Source organism: Homo sapiens, chromosome X, assembly GCF_000001405.40.
Source record: "Homo sapiens chromosome X, GRCh38.p14 Primary Assembly".
Taxonomy (NCBI): Eukaryota; Metazoa; Chordata; class Mammalia; order Primates; family Hominidae; genus Homo; species Homo sapiens.
This window is the reverse complement of record NC_000023.11, coordinates 73,521,950-73,544,119: the sequence shown is the minus strand read 5'-3', so window position 1 is coordinate 73,544,119 and position 22,170 is coordinate 73,521,950. Positions and strand designations below refer to the sequence as shown.

At 42.3% G+C, this 22,170-nt stretch overlaps 2 pseudogenes across 1 annotated transcript in view; one reads left to right on the top strand and one right to left on the bottom strand.

The window, feature by feature from the left end:
- The window catches only part of MAP2K4P1 (mitogen-activated protein kinase kinase 4 pseudogene 1), a 38,811-nt pseudogene extending 18,966 nt beyond the window's left edge, over window positions 1–19,845 (top strand). The window contains exon 2 of the transcript NR_029423.1: window positions 17,433–19,845. The product of NR_029423.1 is annotated as a mitogen-activated protein kinase kinase 4 pseudogene 1 (transcript). The remainder of the gene's footprint in view (window positions 1–17,432) is intronic.
- RPL7P53 (ribosomal protein L7 pseudogene 53) lies at window positions 7,879–8,617 on the bottom strand (annotated as a pseudogene).
- Window positions 19,846–22,170: the final 2,325 nt, after the last annotated feature.

Below are 22,170 nucleotides of genomic sequence, written 5' to 3'. Positions count from 1 at the left end.
TGATGCTGGCCTCATAAAATGAGTTAGGGAGGATTCCCTGTTTTTCTATTGTTTGAAATAGTTTGAGAAGGAATGGTACAAGCTCCTCTTTGTAGCTCTGGTAGAATTTGGCTGTGAATCTGTCTGGTTCTGGACTTTTTTTGGTTGGTAGGCTATTAATTACTACCTCAATTTCAGAACTTGTTATTGGTCTATTCAGGGATTTGACTTCTTTCTGGTTTAGACTTGGGAGGGTGTCCAAGGAATTTATCCATTTCTTCTAGATTTTCTAGTTTATTTGCATAGAGGTGTTTATAGTATTCTCTCGTGGTAGTTTGTATTTCTGTGGGATCTGTGGTGATATCCCCTTTATCATTTTTTAATCATCTATTTGATTCTTTTCTCTTTTCTTCTTTATTAGTCTGGCTAGTGGTCTATCTATTTTGTTGAGCATTTCAAAAAATCAGCGCCTGGATTCATTGACTTTTTGAACAGTTTTTCATGTCTCTATCTCTCTCAGTTCTGTTCTGATCTTAGTTATTTCTTGTCTTCTGCTGGCTCTTGAATTTATTTGCTCTTACTTCTCTAGTTCACTTAATTGTGATATTAAGATGTTGGTTTTAGAGCTTTCCTGATTTCTCTTGTGGGCATTTAGTGTTATAAATTTCTGTCTAAACACTGCTTAAATGTCTCCCAGAGATTCTGGTACGTTGTTTCTTTGTTCTCGTTGGTTTCAGAGAACGTCTTTATTTCTGCCTTCATTTCATTATTTACCCAGTAATCATTCAAGAGCAGGTTGTTCAGTTTCCATGTAGTTGTGTGGTTTTTAGTGAGTTTCTTCATCCTGAGTTTTAATTTGATTGCCCTGTGGTCTGAGAGACTGTTTGTTATGATTTCCGTTCTTCTGCATTTGCTGAGTAGTGTTTTACTTCCATTTATGTTGTCAATTTTAGAATAAGTGCCATGATGTTTTGAGAATGATGTATATTCTGTTGATTTGGGGTGGAGATTTTTTAGATGTCTATTAGGTCCGCTTAGTCCAGAGGTGAGTTCAAGTCCTGAATATTCTTGTTAATTTTGTCTTGTTGATCTGTCTAATATTGAGAATGGGGTGTTAAAGTCTCCCACTATTATTGTGTGAGAGTCTGAGTCTCTTTGTAGTTCTCTAAGAACTTGCTTTATGAATCTGGGTGTTCCTGTATTGGGTGAATATATATTTAGGATAGTTAGTTCTTCTTGATGCACTGATCCCTTTACTATTGTGTAATGCCCTTCTTTGCCTCTTTTGATTTTTGTTGGTTTAAAGTCTGTTTTATCAGATACTAGGATTTCAACCCCTGCTTTTTTTTTTTCTTTTTTTTTTCTTCTTTTTTTTTCTTTTCATTTGCTTGGTAAATATTCCTCCATCCCTTTATTTTGAGTCTATGTGTGTCTTTGCACATGAGATGGGTCTCCTCAATACAGCACACTGATTGGTCTTGACTCTTTATCCAATGTGCCAGTCTGTGTCTTTTAATTGGGGCATTTAGCCCATTTACATTTAAGGTTAATGTTCCTATTCGGCCATCTTGCCAGCAATCCTTGAGGAGTATATTAGTGGTGTTCTCTCTATTTCCTGAATTCGAATTTTGGCCTGTATTGCTATGTTGGGGAAATTCTCCTGGATAATATCCTGAAGAGTGTTTTCCAACTTGGTTCCATTCTCACCATCACTTTCAGGTATATCAATCAAACGTAGGTTTGGTCTTTTCACATAGTCCCATATTTCTTGGAGATTTTGTTTGTTCCTTTTCATTCTTTATTCTCTAATCTTGTCTTCATGCCTCATTTCAGTAAGTTGATGTTCAATCTCTGATATATTTTCTTCTGCCTGATCAATTTGGCTATTGATACTTGTGTATGCTTCACAAAGTTCTTGTGCTGTGTTTTTTAGCTCCATCAGGTCATTTATGTTCCTCTCTAAACTGTTTATTGTAGTTAGCAGTTCCTGTAACCTTTATCAAGCTTCTTAGCTTCCTTGCATTGGGTTAGATGCTCCTTTAGCTCAGAGGAGTTTGTTATTACCCACCTTCTGAAGCCTACTTCTGTCAATTCATCAATCTCATTCTTTGTCAAGTTTTTTGCCCTTGCTGGAGAGGAGTTGCTATCATTTGGAGGAGAAGAGGCATGGTTTTCAGAATTTTCAGTGTTTTTGTCCTGGTTTTTCCTCATCTTCATGGATTTATCTACCTTTGATCTTTGAGGCTGATGACCTTTGGATGGGGTTTTTCTGTGGGGGTCCTTTATATTCACGTTGATGTTTTTGCTTTCTGTTCGTTAGGTTTTCTTCTAACAGTCAGGCCCCTCTTCTGTAAGTCTGCTGCAGTTTGCTGGAGGTCCACTCCAGACCCTGCCCACCTGGGTATTACCAGTGGAGACTGTAGAACAGCAGAGATTGCTGTCTGCTCATTCCTCTGGGAGCTTCATCCCAGAGGGGCACCAGACTGATGTCAGCCAGAGCTCTCCTGTATGAGGTGTTTCTTGACCCCTGTTGGGAGGTGCACCCAGTCAGGAGGCATGAGAACCCACTTGAGGAGGTAGTCTGTCCCTTAGCAGAGCTTGTGCACTGTCCTGGAAGAATCCTTCTTGTCAGAATCAGCTGCTCTCTTCAGATCTGGCAGGCAGGAATGAATAAATCCACCGAACTGCACCCACAGCCACCCCTTCACCCAGGTGCTCTGTCCCAGGGAGATGGGAGTTTATCTGTAAGCCCCTGACTGGGGCTGTTACCTTTCCTTCAGGGATGCCCTTCCCCATGAGGAAGAATCTAGAGATGCAGACTGGCCACAGTCGCTTTGCCACTCTCTGGTGAATTCGCCCAGTCCACACCTCCCAGCCTCCTTAGTACTGTCAGGGGAAAACCGCCTACTCAATCCTCAGTAATGGCAGACGCACCTCCCCCCACCAAACTTGATCTTCCCAGGTTGGCTTCAGACTGCTATGCTGGCAGCGAAAATTTCAAGCCAGTGTTTCTTAGCTTGCTGGACTCCATAGTAGTGAGACCCACTGAACGAGACCACTTGGCTCTCTGGCTTCAGTCCCCTTTTCAGGGGAGTGAACAGTTCCGTCTTGCTGGGGTTCCAGGTGCCAATGGGGTACCAAAAAAATACTCCTGCAGCTAACTTGGTGTCTGCCCAAACAGCTGCCCAGTTTTGTGCTTGAAACCCAGGGCCCTGGTGGTGTAGGTACATGAGGGAGTCTCCTGATCTGCAGATTGCAAAAACCATGGGAAAAGCATAGTAACCCAGCTGGGTAGCACAGTTCCTCATGGCTTCCCTTGCCTGGGGGAGGGTGATCTCCCAGCTTCTTGCAATTTTGGGGTGAAGCTACACCCTACCCTGCTTCTGCTCGCCCACTGTGGGTTGGAACTGCTACCTAACCAGTCCCAATGAGATAAATTTGGTACCTCAGTTGGAAATGCAGAAATCACCTGCCTTCTGTGTTGGTCTCACTGGGAACTGCAGAGCAGAGCTGTTCCTATTTGGTCATCTTGGCCCCTCACCTCTACCTTCTTTTTGCCTGTAGGATTTCTGATAAGAATTCTGCTGTAATTCTCATGTTCTGTAGGTAATGACATTTCTTGTCTGTCTGCTTTCATAATTTTCCTTTGTTTGAATTTCACTAGTTTGAATTTGATACGTTTTGGTGGATTTTTTGCTTGTTTGCTTGACATCTGCCCTGCTTGTCCTCTGTGCTTCTTCAATCTGTGATTTTGTGCCTGACACAGTTTTTATTTTGTCATTATTTTTTCAAATGTTTTTTCTGTCATGTTTTCTTTTTTTGTTTTTTTCTGGGATTACAATTACACATGTTATGCCCATTCAGTATTATCCAACAGCTTTTGGATGTAGTGTTCTGTTTCTTACAGTCTAGTTTTTCCATGTCTGTGTCAGTTTTTGTCATTTCTGTTTACCTGTTCTCAAGTTACCTGATTCTTTCCCTTAACTGTTTCAAGTCTCCCGGTATCTAGCAAAGTCTTCTTTATTTTTGTTATTGCATTTTTGCCTTCTTGAATTTTCATTTGATTCTTTATTATATTTTGGATTTCCCTGTTAGAATTACCTGATTTTGCATGTCCTCTATCTTTTCCATTAGAGTCTTCAGCATATTATGACTATTTTATGTATAATAAATTTTATTCAGCAAATTTACTAAACCTCTTATTAATGATAATAATATATGTGTAGATTTATTGAATTTTTTCTGTTTATTTTTTCTGTCTTTATTGAAGTATACTTGAATATGTGAAGTATACATCACATTCTTATTTTTTGTGCTATGAATACTTAAGATCAACTCTTTTAGCAAATTCCAAATCTATAATACAGTATTTTATAGTTATTATATAGTATTATAGTCGCCATGTTGTACATTAAATCCCTAGAACTTATTTATCCCACATGACTAAACTTTTGTACCCTTTTACTTACAGCTCTCCATTTTTTTACATTGCATTTCTTGGCAAACAGTGTTCTAATCGCTACTTACATGAGTTAAACTTGTTTGTTTATTTATATATTTTTTAAATTTCAGAGATGGGGAGTGCAGTGGCATGATCATAACTCACTGCAACCTTTAACTCCTGGCTCAAGCAATCCTCCTGCCTCACCCTCCCAAGCAGCTCGGACTACAGGGTGTGTGCAACCATGCCCAGCAATTTTTTTTTTTTTAATGGAGACTAGGTCTTGCTATGTTGTCTAGGCTGATCTCCTACTTTTTTCCTTAAGCAATCCTTCCATCTTGGCCTCCCAACACTCTGGGATTACATGTATGAGTCACCACACCTAGCCAACTCAAGTTTTTTAGAATCCACATATAAGGGAGACATTGCAATATTTATCTTTTGGTGTCTGGCTTATTTCACTTCACGTAATATCCTCCTAGTTTATCTACATTGTCACAAATGACAGAATTTTCTTCTTTTTAAGGCTAGATAATATTCCGTGTGTGTGTGTGTGTGTGTGTTGTGTGTGTGTGTGTATGTATACTTTAGAAATCCATTTATTTGACAAACACTTAGGTTGTTTCTATATTTTGGCTATTGTGAATAATGTTGCAATGGACCAGGGGGTGCTGATATCACTTCAAGATACTGATTTTATTTCCCTTGTATATATATCCAGAAATGGAAATGATGGATAGTATGGTAGTTCTCTTTTTAAGTTTTTGAGGAATCTCTATATTGTTTTCCATAATGACTGTACCAATTTATACTCCTGTCAACAGTATACTAGGGTTCCTCTTTCCCCACATTTTCACCAACACATTTATTTATTTATTTTCTGAGATGAAGTTTCACTCTGTCACCCAGGCTGGAGTGCAGTGGTGTTAGCTCACTACAACCTCTGCCTCCTGGGTTCCAGTGATTCTCCTGCCTCAGCCTCCCAAGTAGCTGGGATTACAGGCTTGTACCACCATGCCTGGCTAATTTTTGTATTTTTAGTAGAGATGAGGTTTCACTGTGTTGGCCAGGCTGGTCTTGAACTTCTGGCCTCAAGTGATCCACCTGCCCAGGCTTCCCAAAGTGCTACTATTACAGGTGTGAGCCACCAAGCCCAGCCTCTTTTGTCTTTTTGATAATAGCCATTCTAACAGATTTGATATTGTCATTATTGTTTTGATTTACATTTCCCTGGTGATTAGTGATATTGAGCACATTTTCATATACCTGTTAGCCATTTGTATGTCTTCTTTTAAAAAATGTCTATTCAAGTCCTATTGTAGTTCACTGAGCTTTCTTGAAACAATTGTTTTGATTTCTTTGTTAGTCAATTTGTAAATCTTCCTTTATTTGAGATTGATTTCTAAAATTTTACTAATTTCTTCTTGTAGTGTCTTATTCACCTGATTCTTTGGTGATCTATGCAGTCTCTGCACTTGAAGGAGCAAATACCTCTCCGTGTCTTTGCAGACTGGTTTTAGCAAGTACAGACATTTTCTCACTGGTCCCAGATTGATGGGACTGACTCCAGAATGGCAGCTGAGTGAGGGTGGAGTCAGATCAATTGGCTGCTACTGGTCCACATTTGGGTCTAAGCAGGACTGTTGTGGGAATATAGGTGTGTGTTATTCCTGTTGGATCCTGAGGCAAATAGGACTATTTCTGGAACCATGGTTAAGCAGAGCTGGAGCCAAGTCACAGGGCTGCTTTTTTGTTCCACTCAAGTGGGCAGATGGCAGGCCTTCTACTTGGGGCAGAAATGGGTCTCACTGGGTCCCTGAATGGTCTCCTGCTGGGTCCCTGAGTGGGTCTCAGGGTTGGCAGTACTGCTTCCAGACCACAGCAGAGTGGGGGCTGGAGCCAGGTCACTGGTCTGCCTCAGTGACTGCAGCTGGGTCTGAAATTAGTGGGCTTATTATTAGGGACATGATCAGGCATGTGTTCCACAGGTTTCCTTTGTGGGCAAAACTGACACCAGGCTATGGGATAGTGGGCCTGGAGCCACATTTATAGGGAAATGCGGCTGCTTTTAGTCTGCAGCTGGGACCACATTAGTGACCCTGACTCTTGGGTGTGGGTTTTCATCTCAAAGTGGCTCTCAGGCTTGGGCTTCACCAGTGTTTTCCAATCTTCTACCCGGATCTGAAAGATTCCATAAGGCAGTTTTGTCCATAGATGGCTGCCAGATCATTATTTGTGTGGGACCACATGACCTGGAGACCTCCTATTCTGCCATCTTCCTCCTATTTTTAATCATAATTATTTTAAATTTGCCTTCCAATAGTTCTAACATCTGTGTCATATCTGAATCTCATTCTGATCTTTACTTTGTCTCTTCAGACTGTCTTTCTTGCCTTTGGTGTACCTCATAACTTTTTAGTGAAAACTGGAGATTTGTAGTGGTCACTAGATATTGTAATAAGTATGTTTTATGCTTGGAGAATACATTTCCTTCTGCTATGCTTTTAGTATGGCACATTTTGTTAATTAATTAGAAATTAGTCTGCATTTAAAGTTTGTCGTTGCTATTTACCAGAGTTGAAGTGTGTTATTGCTATGGTAACAGGAGACTTCAAATTTTTCTAGTGATACCATTTTTTTTCTCCCTTCTAGTGATAACTTATTTTTCCCTTTGGATTTTTCTTTTGTGCTGTACTGCAGAAAAATTCTGTGTTTTGTAGTTCTCCCGGCTGTGCTTCCCTGTTAGTTTGGCTCAGGGCATTTTAGTGTGGTGTTTGGGGTGGAGGGAAGGGGGCATTCTTCATTGTTGTGAATAAGCCTAAGTCTTTGCAAAGCACTATAGACCTGAATCACAGTGTTGGCCTTCATAAATATTTCTGTTCTCTTCCATAGGTAGAACTTTGTTCTCCAGTTCCCTTCCCTCAGTTTCAGTGTATATCCACCAGTGTCCATAGGCCATGGTTTTGGGAACCTTCTTCCTTAAGATTAAAAATTTTGTTTCTTTAGTGAGATAGGAAAGAAAAATCTGGGTAGAGTTTTATGATAGCCTCTGTTCTCTTTCCTCAGCTGCAATGGGAATTCATTAGTAAGCTCAAGGTAAAAATTTTTATTAATTTTAAAGATTTTTTTATTTGCCTTTAGTATTTTAACATTTTACTTGGTTGTGTCTAGGTGTGGGTATTATGTATTTATCCTGCTTGAATTGTGTAGGGATTCTTTAATCTGTGGCTTTTTATCTTCTTTTAATTTTGACAATTCTTAACCATTGTTTTCTCCAAATCTGCTTCTCTCCTCTTCTTTTTCTTCTATCTTTTTGGATATACATTATACATAGACTTTTCCTGCTCTGTCCACTATGTATCTTGCTGCTCTTTTTGATACATTATTTTTTTTTTCAATTTGAAAGCATTCACTGTTTATTAACTGACTGGATTACAGAAACTATCGTGGTGGACACCTTAGTTCATCCATCTGATAGGCCTGTTGCTCTGCTCTTTCCTGTTGGTCATCTCCACTTTCTACAAAATGGATGGTCTTTTTCTTCATTCCACCTCATAGAGAGAATAATTTGAAGGACCAAAAGAAGCAATTTGCTTCTTTGAAGCATTTTCTGAGAGTATAGATCTCATGAATCAGATTTGCTGTGCAGATGATGCTATATTTACCAAGAGACCGAGCAATCAAAGTGTTATTTGTCAAGGCAATTTGCTTCTTAGTGATTTTGCCATAACCACACTTGTAGATTAGTTTATTTACTGACTTCAGGTTTGGGTACCCCTATGCAATATATGGTTCTACAGTCTTCAGCATGTTAATTGAAGCCCTGTTGAACTTAACAAAGTTTCAATTGAAGATCCGACAAAGGTGAAGAAACTGCAACACCTTTTGGATCTTTGGGCTCACACCATTGACACCTCTGATCCTAATGACAAGTGTCAATTTGGGTTCTGCAGGTTGGTAGACATTGCCAGCTTTTCTTGCCATCCTAGCCATTCAAATCTCAGTTCTGTACATCTGCCTATATTACTTGTGATAGTGCTTAGCTTTTTCATATATAAGCTTCCTCCTTGCCTTTAGAAGCATCTTTTGGGAAACTTTTCTCAGGCGCTTGATCTTCAGTTCTGTGAAATTTCTTCCCTTTTCCTTAAAGCTTTCTGGCACAGCAGGAACCTTATTATTCTCTTCAACACCCTCCACAGTTCCAGCCAGAAAAGACTTCATCCCTTTGTCTCTCAGAGTTTTATTCTTGATATTTTTGTCTGCCTTACTCTGTGATTATTTCTATGATTTATTGTTTTTCTTCCTATTTGATCATGTCATCTTTTTCTTCAAATGCCTTATTTATTGAGTGCTGAACACTGTAGATGATAAGTTATAGAGATAACTTGAGGCCAAGCATAATGTTGTCTTCATTCAGAGAGGGTTTATATTTCTTTATATGTAATAGCTAGGGGCACTAGATAACGCTTAGAGATAAAATAGATTATATGTATTCAATCATAGTTTGAGAGAGTTCCCATCTGAGCTTAATTAAGTTCATGTGAGGAATAGGATATTTCCTGTTCATTCTTATTTCTACAATCATTTCAGATCCTAAAGTATTTACCAGCACTTTACTCACATTGGTAGTACCTAAACTCGAATTTTTTTTTGTACAGTCCCAATGAGTGTATAAAAATTTCTGCTCAGTTCCTTAGGCTGTTAGCAATCTCTTCTACCACAGTTTATTTATTTGTACACCTGTTGCTATACATTTGCTTTTCTTCCACTTGTGTTTTGCTATTATAAAAGAAGATATATGCACTTATTCTTAAAAATTGTATATTATAGAAAATATTAATCACATACTGTGTTAGCCAATTTGCATTGCTTTAGTGGAATACCTGAGACTTGGTAATTTATACAGAAAAGAGATTTAATTGGCCATGGTTTTGCAGGCTGTACAGGAAGCATGGTTCTGGCATCTGCATAGCTTCTTGTGAGGCCTCAGGGAGGTTTTACTCATGGCAGAAGGTGAAGCAGGATGTATTAGTCTGTTCTTATATTGTTATAAAGAAATACCTGAAACTGGGTAATTTATTAAGAAAAGAGGTTTAACATGCTCATGGTTCTACAGGCTGTACGGGATGCATAAGGCTTCTGCTTTTGGGGAGGCCTCAGGAAGCTTCCAATCATGGTGCAAGGCAAAGGAGGTGCAAGGCAAAGGAGGAGCAAGGTGGCAGGAAGAGGAATAAAGGAGAGAGCTGGGGGGAGGTGCTACACACTTTCAAACAACCAGGTTATGTGAGAACTCACTATCATGAGAATAGCACCAAGGGTATGGAGCTAAACCATTCATAAAAAATCTACCCCCATAATACAGTCACCTCCCACCAGGCCCCACCTCTAACACTGGGGATTACAATTGAACATGAGATTTGGGTGGGGAGAGAGATGCAAACCATATCATGGAAGTAACATGTCACATAGCAAGAGCAGGAGCAAGATAGAGGGGGGAGGTGCCATACTATTTTAAACAATCAGTTGTCACATGAACTCAGAGTGAGAATACACTCATTATTGTGAGGATAGGATCAAGGCATTCATGAGGGATCCACCCTTATGACAAAAACACCTCCCACCACGGCTCACTTCCAACATTAGAGATTACATTTCAACATGAGATTTGGAGAGGAAAAATATCCAAACCATATCATTCGACCCCTAGCCCCCAGATCTCATGTTCTTCTCACATTGCAAAATATAATGACTTTCACTCACGTCTGTGCGAAGAGACCATCAAACAGGCTTTGTGTGAGCAACAAGGCTGTTTATTTCACCTGGCTGCAGGCAGGCTGAGTCTGAAAAGAGAGTCAGTGGAGGGAGATAGGGGTGGGGCCATTTTATAAGATTTGAGTAGGTAAAGAAAAATTACAGTCAAAGGGGGTTGTTCTCTGGTGGGCAGGGGTGGGGGTCACAAGGTGCTCAGTGGGGGAGCTGTTGAGCCAGGATGAGCCAGGCGAAGGAATTTCACAAGGTAACATCATCAGTTAAGGCAGGAACAGGCCATTTTCACTTCTTTTGTGATTCTTCAGTTACTTCAGGCCATCTGGATGTATATGTGCAGGTCACAGGGGATATGATGGCTTAGCTTGGGCTCAGAGGCCTGACATTCCTGTCTTCTTAGATTAATAAGAAAAATAAAATGAAATAGTGGTAAAGTGTTGGGGCAGTGAAAATTTTTGGGGGTGGTATGGAGAGATAATGGGTGATGTTTCTCAGGGCTGCTTTGAGCGGGATTAGGGGCAGGGTGGGAACCTAGAGTGGGAGAGATTAAGCTGAAGGAAGATTTTGTGGTAAGGGGTGATATTGTGCGGTTGTTAGAAGAAACATTTGTCATATAGAATTATTGGTGATGGCATGGATATGGTTTTGTATGAATTGAAAAACTAAACAGAATAAAAGAAGGAGAAAAACAGGTATTAAAGGACTAAGAATTGGGAGGACCCAGGACATCCAATTAGAGAGTGCCTAAGGAGGTTCAGCATAGCCCTGCCAACAAAGATTATTTATTTACTTTAAGAGTTAAGAGTGGCAGTTTGGGGATAGCACCAGGAGATATCAACTGTGATGGCTTGGAGAAACAGTGTAAACTGGCAGTGTAAGCAAGAGCAGGGCATTTATGAGTATTTGAGAATGGTGAAAGGAGTATGGCTAGACAGAAGATAGTAGGGATGACAAGTTTTTTGGGGCACAGTCCAAGTTGGTCTGGTGTCTGGAATGAGACTTGGGCCTAATAAAAAGGAGCATCCATACAGGAGCTCAAATGGGCTATACCCTGCAGCATTCCAAGGACAGGCGCAAATTCTGAGAAGGGAAAGTGGTAAAAGTATTGTCCAGTCCTTTTTAAGTTCATGGCTGATCTTGGTGAGGTGTGTTTTTAAAAGACCATTAGTTCACTGAATACCAAGAGCCTGAGAAACTGCTTGGGTGATTTGACTAATAAAGGCTGGTCCATTATCAGACTGTATAGAGGTGGGAAGGCCAAATCAAGGAATTATGTCTGACAGAAGGGAAGAAATGACTGTGGTGGCCTTCTCAGACCCTGTGGAAAAGGCCTCTACCCATCCAGTGAAAATGTCTACCTAGACCAAGAGGTATTTTAGTTTCCTGACACAGGCATGTGAGTAAAGTCAATTTGCCAGTCCTAGGCAGGGGCAAATCCCGGAGCTTGATGTGTAGGGAAGGGAGGGGGCCTGAGAAATTCCTGAGGAGTGGTAGAATAGCAGATGGAACACTGAGAAGTGATTTCCTTGAGGACAGATTTCCATGATGGAAAGGAAATGAGAGATACTAAGAGGCAGGCTAGTGGCTTGTAACCTACATGGAAGAGGTTATGAAATGACAACAGAATAGAATGGACCTGTGAGGCTGGAAGGAGGTATTTTCCTTGATCCAAGAACCATTTCCCTTCTGTGGGAAGAGATTGATAGGTGGAAGTTTCAGTGGGGGAATAGGTGGGAGTGGCCAGATGAGAAGGAGAAAAACTGCCGTAAGGGATAAAAGTTGGAAGGCTAGCTGCTTTTTTAGCTACCTTATCAGCATAAGCATTGCCCTGAGTGATGGGATCTGATGCCTTTTGATGGCTGCTTTTTTAGCTACCTTATCAGCATAAGCATTGTCCTGAGCGATGGGATCTGATGCCTTTTGATGGCCTTTACAGTGAATGATTCCATCTTCCTTTGGAAGTAAAGCAGTTTTGAGAAGCGTTTTTATTAAAGAGGCATTAATGATGGAGGACCCTTGCATAGTGAGGAAACCTCTTTCAGCCCATATAACAGCATGGTGGTGCAGGATATGGAAGGCATATTTAGAGTCAGTGTAAATATTGATGCGTAGTCCCTTTGCAAGAGTGAGGGCTCCAGTTAAGGCAATGAGTTTGGCTTGTTGAGAGGTAGTGGAGGGGGGCAGAGTGGTGCCTCAATGATAGGTGTGGAAGATACTGTAGCATCACCTGCCTTTGCTGGTGAGTGGCGATTAGGCCTGGTGGAACTGCCATCAATAAACCAAGTGTGTTCAGGGTGAGGAACAGGAAAGAAGTAAATATGGGGAAATGGAGTGAATGTTGGGTGGATCAGAGAGATACAGTCATGGGGGTCAGGTGTGGTATCAGGAATAATGTGGGAGGCCAGATTGAAGTCCGGGCCAGGAACAATGGTAATTGTGGGAGACTCAACAAAGAGTGAGTATAGCTGAAGGAGCCAGGGAGCAGAAAGTATATGCGTCAGGTGGGAGGAAGAAAATAGATTTTGGAAGTTATGAGAACTGTAGAGAGTGAGTTGAGCATAGTTTGTGATTTTGAGGGCCTCTAAAAGTATTAAGGCAGTGGCAGCCACTCCACACCAACATGAGGGCTAGGCTAAAACAATAAGGTCAAGTTGTTTGGACAGAAAGGCTACAGGGCACAGTCCCAGCTCTTGTGTAAGAATTCTGACCATATTAACCATGCCTAGGAAGGAAAGGAGTTGTTGTTTTGTAGAAGGGATTGGGGTTTGGGAGATTAGTTGGACATGATCAGCAGGGAGAGCACGTGTGTTTTTATGAAGAATTATGTCAAGATAGGTAATGGATGAGGAATAAATTTGGGCTTGACTGAAGTAATGGGGGCTGTCTGTGAAGCCTTGAGGCAGTACAGCCCAGGTAATTTGCTGAGCCTGATGGGTGTCAGGGTCAGTCTAAGTGAAAGTGAAGGGAGGCTGGGATGAAGGGTGCAAAGGAATAGTAAAGAAAGCATGTTTGAGATCCAGAACAGAATAATGGGTTGTGGAGGGAGGTATTGAGGATAGGAGAGTATATGGGTTTGGCACTATGGAGTGGATAGGCAAGACAATTTGGTTGATAAGGGGCAGATCCTGAACTAACCTGTAAGGCTTGTCTGGTTTTTGGACAGGTAAAATGGGGGAATTGTAAAGAGAGTTTATAGGCCTTAAAAGGCCATGCTGTAACAGGCAAGTGATAACAGGCTTTAATCCTTTTAAAACATGCTTTGGGATGGGATATTGGCATTGAGCGGGTTAAGGGTGATTAGGTTTTAATGGGATAGTAATGGGTGTGTGATTGGTTGCCAGGGAGGGAGTAGAGGTGTCCCATATTTGTGGGTTAAGGTGGGGAGATACAAGGGGAGGATGTGAAGGAGGCTTTGAACTGGGGAAAAGGGCAGCAATGAGGTGTGGCTGTAGCCTAGGAATAGTCAGGGAAGCAGATAATTTAGTTAAAATGTTTCAGCCTAATAAGGGAACTAGGCAGGTGGTGATAACTAAAAAGGAGTGCATAAAAGAACACTGTCCAAGTTGTCTCTAGAGTTGGGGAGTTTTAAGAGGTTTAGAAGCCTGGCTGTCAATACCCACAACAGTTATGGAGGCAAGGGAAACAGGCCCTTGAAAAGAAGGTAACGTGGAGTGGGTAGCCTCCATAATGATTAAGATTAAGAAGGGGATGGACTTACCCTCCACTGTGAGAGTTACCCGAAGCTTGGCATCTGTGATGGTCTAAGGGGCTTCCAAGGCGATTGGGAAGCATCAGTCTTCAGCCACTAAGCCAAGAAGACCTGGGAAGGAGTCAGTCAGAGAGCCTTGGGCCAGAGTTCCAGGGGCTCTGGGAGTGGCTGCCAGGTGAGTTGAACAGTCTGATTTTCAGTGGGGTCCTGCACAGATGGGATGTGGCTTAGCAGGAATCCTGGGCTGCAGGCATTCCTTCGCCCAGTGGCCAGATTTCTGGCACTTGTAGCAAGCTCCTGGGGGAGGATGTCCTGGAGGAACTCCTGGCAGCTGCGGTTCAGGCGTTTGGAGTTCTTGTGTGCTGGAGATATGGCTGGGGTTTGTCTCACAATGGAGGCAAGGAATTGCAACTCAGAAACACATTGCTACTTGGCTGCCTCTACTCTATTATTGTACACCTTTAAGGTGAGGTTAATTAAGTCCTGTTGTGGAGCTTGAGGGCTGGAATTTAATTTTTGGAGCTTTATTCTAATTTCAGGAGCTGACTGGGTGATAAAATGCATATTTAGAATGAGACAGCCTTCTGACCCTTCAGGGTCTAGGGCTGTAAAGGGTCTAAGGGTTGCTGCCAAATGGGCCATGAACTGGGCTAGGTTTTTCATATTTGATGAAAAAGAGCCTAAACGCTAACTGATTTCAGAGAGGTTGGATAAAGAAAAAGGAGCATTAACCTTGACTATGCCTTTAGCTCCAGGCAACTTTTTAAGAGGAAATTGCTGGGCAGGTGGGGGAGGGCTAGTTGCGGAACGAAACTGTAAGGCAGACCGGGTGTGAGGAGGGGAGGTGATAAAAGGATTATAGGGTGGGGGAGCGGAGGCTGAGGAAGAATTGGGACCTAGCTTGGCCTGGCGAGGAGCAGCTTAGGGAGGAGGGGAGAGGTCAGATGGGTCCATAAAAAAGGAAGATTGGAAAGACTCAGCGATGCTTGGGGTTGGGACTGAGGGGACAAGCAGGAGGGAAAGAATGAAGATTTGGGATGAGTTGCATTGGGAACAGAGACTAGGGAGGGACCGATGTGTAAAAGAATGCCTGGACATCAGGCACCTCAGACCGTTTGCCCATTTTACGACAAGAATTATTTAGGTCTTGTAGGATGGAGAAATCGAAAGTGCCGTTTTCTGGCCATTTAGAGCCATTATCGAGTTTGTATTGGGGTTAAGCGGCATTGCAGAAGAAAATAAGGCATTTAGGTTTTAGGTCAGTGTGAGTTAAAGAGGTTTTAAGTTCTTGAGAATACAGGCTAAGGGAGAAGAAGGAGGAATGGAGGGTGGTTGCCTATAATGAAGGAGACAAGTCCAGAGAAAAGAGAGGGTAGCATGGAGAGAAGGGGTGGGGGGTGCTTGCCCCCCTGGAAAGTGGAGAGAAAAGAGAGGGTAGAGACACAGAGAGAAGGGGTGGGGGGGGTGCTTCCCCCCAGGAAAGTGGACAAGGGGTGGGGAAATGGAGAGAAGGAGTGGGGGGTGCTTGCCCCCCAGGAAAGTGGAGAAGGGATGGGAGGTGCTTGCCCACCAGGAAAGTGGAAAATGGGTAGAGACATCTAGAGAAGGGGTTGGGGGGGGTGCTTGCCCCCCAGAAAAGCAGTGATTGCTGCTAAGGGTGAAGGACCAAGGCAGGCATCCCTGCATGGTCAGACAGCTCTGAAACGTGGGTGAATAATCAAGCAGGCATCCCCATATGATTAAACACCAAGGGAAGACTGTCTTCCTGAGTCCGTGATTGGTGCCAGAGTTTTGGGTTCATGGATAAAATGCATCTCCTGTCTCTACCAGAAAAGGAAAGGAACTGAAATTAAGAGAAGGGAGAGACTGAAGTGTGGCACCAAGATTGAAAGGAGAAAGAGGTTGAGGGATAGTGAGAGAGGTTGGAGAAGAGAGTAAAAAGAGGCTGCTTACCCAATTTAAAATTGGTGAGATGTTCCTTGGGCTGGTTGGTCTGAGGACCCGTGGTCGTAGGTGGATCTTTCTCACGGAGCAAAGAGCAGGAGGACAGGGGATTGATCTCCCAAGGGAAGTCCCCCAGTCTGAGTCATGGCACCAAATTTCACTTGCATCCCTGTGAAGAGACCACCAAACAGGCTTTGTGTGAGCAACAAGGCTGTTTATTTCACCTGGGTGCAGGCGGGCCGAGTCCAAAAAGAGAGTCAGGGAAGGGAGATGGGGTGGGGCCGTTTTATAAGATTTGGGTAGGTAAAGGAAAACTACAGTCAAGGCTGGGCGCGGTGGCTCATGCCTGTAATCCCAGCACTTTGGGAGGCCGAGGTGGGCAGATCAAGAGATCAGGAGTTTGAGACCAGCCTGACTAACATAGTGAAACCCTGTCTCTACTAAAAATGCACACATACACACAAATTAGCCAGGCATGGTGGCAGGCACCTATAGTCCCAGCTGCTTGGGCGGCTGAGGCAGGAGAATGGCATGAATCCAGGAGGCGGAGGTTGCAGTGAGCCAAGTCGCGCCACTGCACTCCAGCCTGGGTGACAGAGCCAGACTCCATCTCAAAAAAAAAAAAAAAAGAAAAAGAAAATTACAGTCAAAGGAGGTTGTTCTCTGGCAGGCAGGGATGGGGGTCACAAGGTGCTCAGTGGGAGAGCTTTTGAGCCAGGATGAGCCAGGAGAAGGAATTTTACAAGGTAATGTCATCAGTTAAGGTGGGAACAGGCCATTTTCACTTCTTTTGTGATTCTTCAGTTACTTCAGGCCATCCGGATGTATATGTGCAGGTCACAGGGGATATGATGGCTTAGCTTGGGCTCAAAGGCCTGACAATGATCCCTTCTCAGTTGTCCCCCCAAGTCTTAACTTGTTTCAGCCCCAACTCAAAAGTTCCCAAGTCCAATTTCCAAAGCCTCATCTGAGACTCAAGTTCCTTCCATCTATGAACCTGTAGAATCAAAATCAAGTTATTTACTCCCAAGATATAATGGTGGTACTGGCATTGGGTAAACATCCAATTCCAAAAGAGAGAATTCAGCCAAGAGAAAGGGCTAATAGGCCTCACACAAGTCTTAAACCCAACAGGATACTCATTAACTCTTAAAGCTCCAAAATAATCTCATTTGACTTGATGTCCTGCATCCAGGGCACACTGGTGTGAGGAGAGGACTTCTAAAGCCATGGGTAGCTCTGCTTCTATGGAATTGCTGAATCCAGCTGACATGGCTGCCCTGATGGGTTGGAGTCCAGTGCTTATGACTTTTTCAGGCTGAGGGTGCAAGCTGCCCTTACCTCCGTTATTCTTGGGTCTAGAGGATGGCAGCCCCCTCTCACAGCTCCATTAGGCAGTGACCTGGTGGAGAGTCTGTATTGGAACTGCAATGTCACATTTCCCCTCAGCACTGCCCTAGTAGAGACACTCTGTTGTAGCTCCATTTCTGTGGCAAGTTTCTGCCTGGGTACCCATGCTTTCTCATACAACCTTTGAAATTTTAGGTGGAAGTTGCCAAGCCTCCTTTACTCTTGCATTCTTTGTGTCCACAGGCTTAACACCACATGGAAGCTGCTGGTTTACAGCTTGTGCCCTCTGAAGCAGTGTCCTGGACCCCTTTGAGCCAAGGCTGGAGCCAGAGCAGCCAGGATATGAAGAGCAGTGTCCTGAGGCTGTGTAGTATAGCACAGCCCAGGGCTTGGCCCTGAAACCATTATTTCCTGGTAGACCTCTGGGCTGTCCCAAAGACTTCTGAAATGCCTCCTAGTCTTTTTTTTCCCTCATTGTCTTGGATATTAGCACTTGGCTCCCTTTTAGTAATGCTAATCTCTCTAGCAAGTGATTGCTCTACAGTCTGCTTGGATTCTTTCTTTACCACAGGGCTAAGATGCACATTTTCTGAACTTATGCTCTACTTTCCTTTTAAATATAAGTACCAACTTCGTCATTTATTTGCTCCTATATCTGATAATATGCTGTTATAAGCAACCAGGCTACATCTTGAATGCTTTCCTGCTTAGAAATTTCTTGTACCAGGGCTGCATTGCAGCCGCCACGGCGTCGCTTGGCTCCTCACTCCCAACAATGGCAGCTCCGAGACTGAGCGGCGGCTGCGGCTCCGGGGGCAGCAGCGGCAGCCTCACCCCGGGACCTGTAGGATCCCTGAAGCCAGGCCACCCAGCCATCAGCAGCATGCAGGGTAAACGCAAAGCACTGAAGTTGAATTTTGCAAATCCACCTTTCAAATCTACAGCAAGGTTTACTCTGAATCCCAATCCTACAGGAGTTCAAAACCCACACATAGAGAGACTGAGATCACACAGCATTGAGTCATCAGGAAAACTGAAGATCTCCCCTGAACAACACTGGGATTTCACTGCAGAGGACTTGAAAGACCTTGGAGAAATTGGATGAGGAGTTTATGGTTCTGCCAACAAAATGGTCCACAAACCAAGTGGGCAAATAATGGCAGTTAAAAGAATTCGGTCAACAGTGAATGAAAAAGAACAAAAACAACCTCTTACGGATTTGGATGAAGTAATGCAGAGTAGTGATTGCCCTTACATTGTTCAGTTTTATGATGCACTCTACAGACAGGGTGACTGTTGGACCTGTATGGAACTCATGTCTATCTCGTTTGATAAGTTTTACAAATATGTGTATAGTGTATTAGATGATGTTATTCCAGAAGAAATTTTAGGCAGAATCACTTTAGCATCTGTGAAAGCATTAAATCACTTAAAAGAAAACTTGAAAATTATTCACAGAGATATCAAACCTTCCAATATTCTTCTGGACAGAAGTGAAAATATTAAACTCTGTGACTTTGGCATCAGTGGGCAGCTTGTGGACTCTATTGCCAAGACAGAAGATGCTGGCTGTAGGCCATACATGGCACCTGAAAGAATAGACCCAAGTGCATCATGACAAGCATATGATGTCTGCTCTGATGTCTGGAGTTTGGGGATCACATTGTGTGAGTTGGCCACGGGCTGATTTCCTTATCCAAAGTGGAATAGTGTATTTGATCAACTAACACAAGTCGTGAAAGGAGATCCTCCGCAGCTGAGTAATTCTGAGGAAAACGAATTCTCCCCAAGTTTCATCAACTTTGTCAACTTGTGCCTTACGAAGGATGAATCCAAAAGACCACAGCATAAAGAGCTTCTGAAACATCTTTTTATTTTGATTTATGAAGAACGTACCATTGAAGTCGCATGCTATGTTTTGTCAAATCCTGGATCAAATGCCAGCTACTCCCAGCTTTCCCATGTATGTTGTTTGATATCGCTGCTACATCAGACTAAAAAAAAGGGCTGAGAGGAAGCAAAAGGTAAAGAATTTTCATCCCTATCACAGTGTTTTTATTGCTCACCCAGACACCATGTGCAATGACATTGGTGTTCATTTCCATCATGTCTACATATTCCTGTCACCTAGAACGTGCATCCTGGTAATACCTGATTGATCACACAGTGTTAGTGCTGGTCAGAGAGACCTCATCCTGCTCTTTTGTGATGAACATATTCATGAAATGTAGAAGTCAGTATGATCAAGTTGTTGACTGTGATTAGATCACATCTTATATTCATTTATAGACTCCAAACCTGGAGATGCAGCTACTGGAATGGTGTTTTATCAGACTTCCAAATCCTGGAAGGACACGGTGATGGATGTACTATGTCTGAACATAGAGACTCAGGCTTGAGTGAGAAGAGCTTGCACAGCCAACGAGACACATTGCCTTCTGGAGCTAGGAGACAAAGGAGGAATTTACTTTCTTCACCAAGTGCAATAGATTTACTGATGTGATATTCTGTTGCTTTACAGTTACAGTTGATGTTTGGGGATTGATGTGCTCAGCCAAATTTCCTGTTTGACATATCATGTTAAATTAGAATGAATTTATCTTTACCAAAAACCATGTTGCGTTCAAAGAGGTGAACATTAAAATATTGAGACAGGACCAGATGTGTTCTTTTCTCCTTTACCAGTCCTACTTTGCATTGGGAAGACTCAGGAGTCTGCCACTTGTCAAAGAAGGAGCTGATCCTAATAATTTTTCATTCTCAGAATTCGGTGTGCTGCCAACTTGATGTTCCACCTGCCACAAACCACCAGGACTGAAAGAAGAAAACAGTACAGAAGGCAAAGTTTACAGATGTTTTTAATTCTACTATTTTATCTGGAACAACTTGTAGCAGTTATATATTTCCCTTTGGTCTTAAGCCTGATACTTTAGCCATCCTAACTCACTAACAGGGAGAAGTAGCTAGTAGCAATGTGCCTTGATTGATTAGATAAAGATTTCTGGTAGGCAGCAAAAGACCAAATCTCAGTTGTTTCCTTCTTGCCATCACTGGTCCAGGTCTTCAGTTTCCGAATCTCTTTCCCTTCCCCTGTGGTCTGTTGTCGCTATGTGACTTTTGCTTAATCCAATATTTTGCCTTTTTTTATATCAAAAAACCTTTATAATTACCAGGGATGTTTCTTACCAAGGATTTTTAGCCCCAAATCTCTCATATGCGCTAGTGTTTAAAAGGCTAAGAATAGTGGGGCCCAGCCGATGTGGTAAGTGATAAAGAGGCATCTTTTCTAGAGACACATTGGACCAGATGAGGATCTGAAATGGCAGCCTTTATGTTCATCACCAGCTAGAACCTCCTGTAGTACAACACCATTTCTTGGCATTGGAAGCCTACTGGAAAAAATATAAAAAGCAAAACAAAACCCTCAGCACTGTTACAAGAGACCATTTAAGTATCTTGCGCTTCTTAACTTACTCATTAGCCAGGTTCTCATTAGATTTTGCTCGGGCCTCCCTGGCACTGAACCTTAAGGCTTTGTATGACAGTGAAGCAGCACCGTGAATGGTTCAAGCACACTGGAATATAAAACAGCCATGGTCTGATATGCAGGTGATGCCATTACAGAACCAAATCATGGCAGGTATTGCTGTGTCTCCTCTTAGAGTGACAGTCATAAATACTATCAAACAATAAAGGAAGAATGGTGCTGTTTAAAATCACATCCCTGTAAATTGCAGAATTCAAAAGTGATTATCTCTTTGATCTACTTGCCTTATTTCCTTATCTTCTCCCCCATGGCATCCTAAACTTTAGACTTCCCACTGTTCTGAAAGGAGACATTGCTTTATGTCTCCCTTTGACCACAGCAAGCTGTCATCCTCCATTGTTCCCGGGGACTCAAGAGGAATCTGTTTCTCTGCTGTCAGCTTCCCATCTGGCTCAGCATAGGGTCACTTTGCCATTATGCAAATGGAGATAAAAGCAATTCTGACTGTCCAGGAGCGAATCTGACCATTCTATTGTGTGGATGACCACATAAAAAGGAAATTTTCATGTATTAATCATAGATTATTATAAACTATAAACTTAAGGGCAAGGAGTTTATTGCAATATATCTTTATTAAAACAAAAGTGTGAATAGTGTTCACAAACTGTGAAAATAGTGTAAGAACTGTACATTGTTAGCTCTGGTTATTTTTCTCTTGTACCAGAGAAAAATGTATAAAAATTATCAAAAAGATAATGTGCAGGGATATTGCCTTATTTGTCTGTAAAAAATGGAGCTCAGTAACATAACTGCTTCTTGGAGCTTTGGAATATTTTATCCTGTATTCTTGTTTGAATTCCTCCTCTATTTAAGTTGTATACATGGAATCAAAGTGTTTATGTAGTAGTTCTGTCCTTTTGCCTGCAGGTCAGTTGTAATAAATCTAGGATGTGATGATGAAAAAAGAAAGAAAGAAAGAAATTTCTTGCACCAGGTACCCTAGGTCGACAATCTTAAGTTCAAACTTCCACAGTTCCCCAGGGCATGAACACAATGCATTGAGTTCTTTGCTAACATGTAACAAGGGTTACTTTTACTCTAGTTTCCAATAACTTTCTCATTTCCATCTGAGACCTCTTTAGCCTGTACTTTACTGTCCATATCTCTAAGGGCATTTTGGTCACAGCTATTTAACCAGTCTCTAAGAAATTCCAAACTTTACTTCATTTTCCTGTCTTCTTCCGAACCCTCCAAACTCTTCCAACCTCTGCCCATTACCCAGTTCCAAAGTCTTTTCCACATTTTCAGGCATCTTTATAGTAAAACCCCACTCCTGGTAACAATTTTGTGTGTTAATGTGTTTCTTTTGCTCTGAAGGAATTCCTGAGACTGGGTAATTGATAAAGAAAAGAGATTTAATTGGCTCATGGTTGCACAGAGCTGTACAGGAAGTGTGGTGCCAGCATCCTTTTGGCTTTGGGTGAGGCCTCAGGG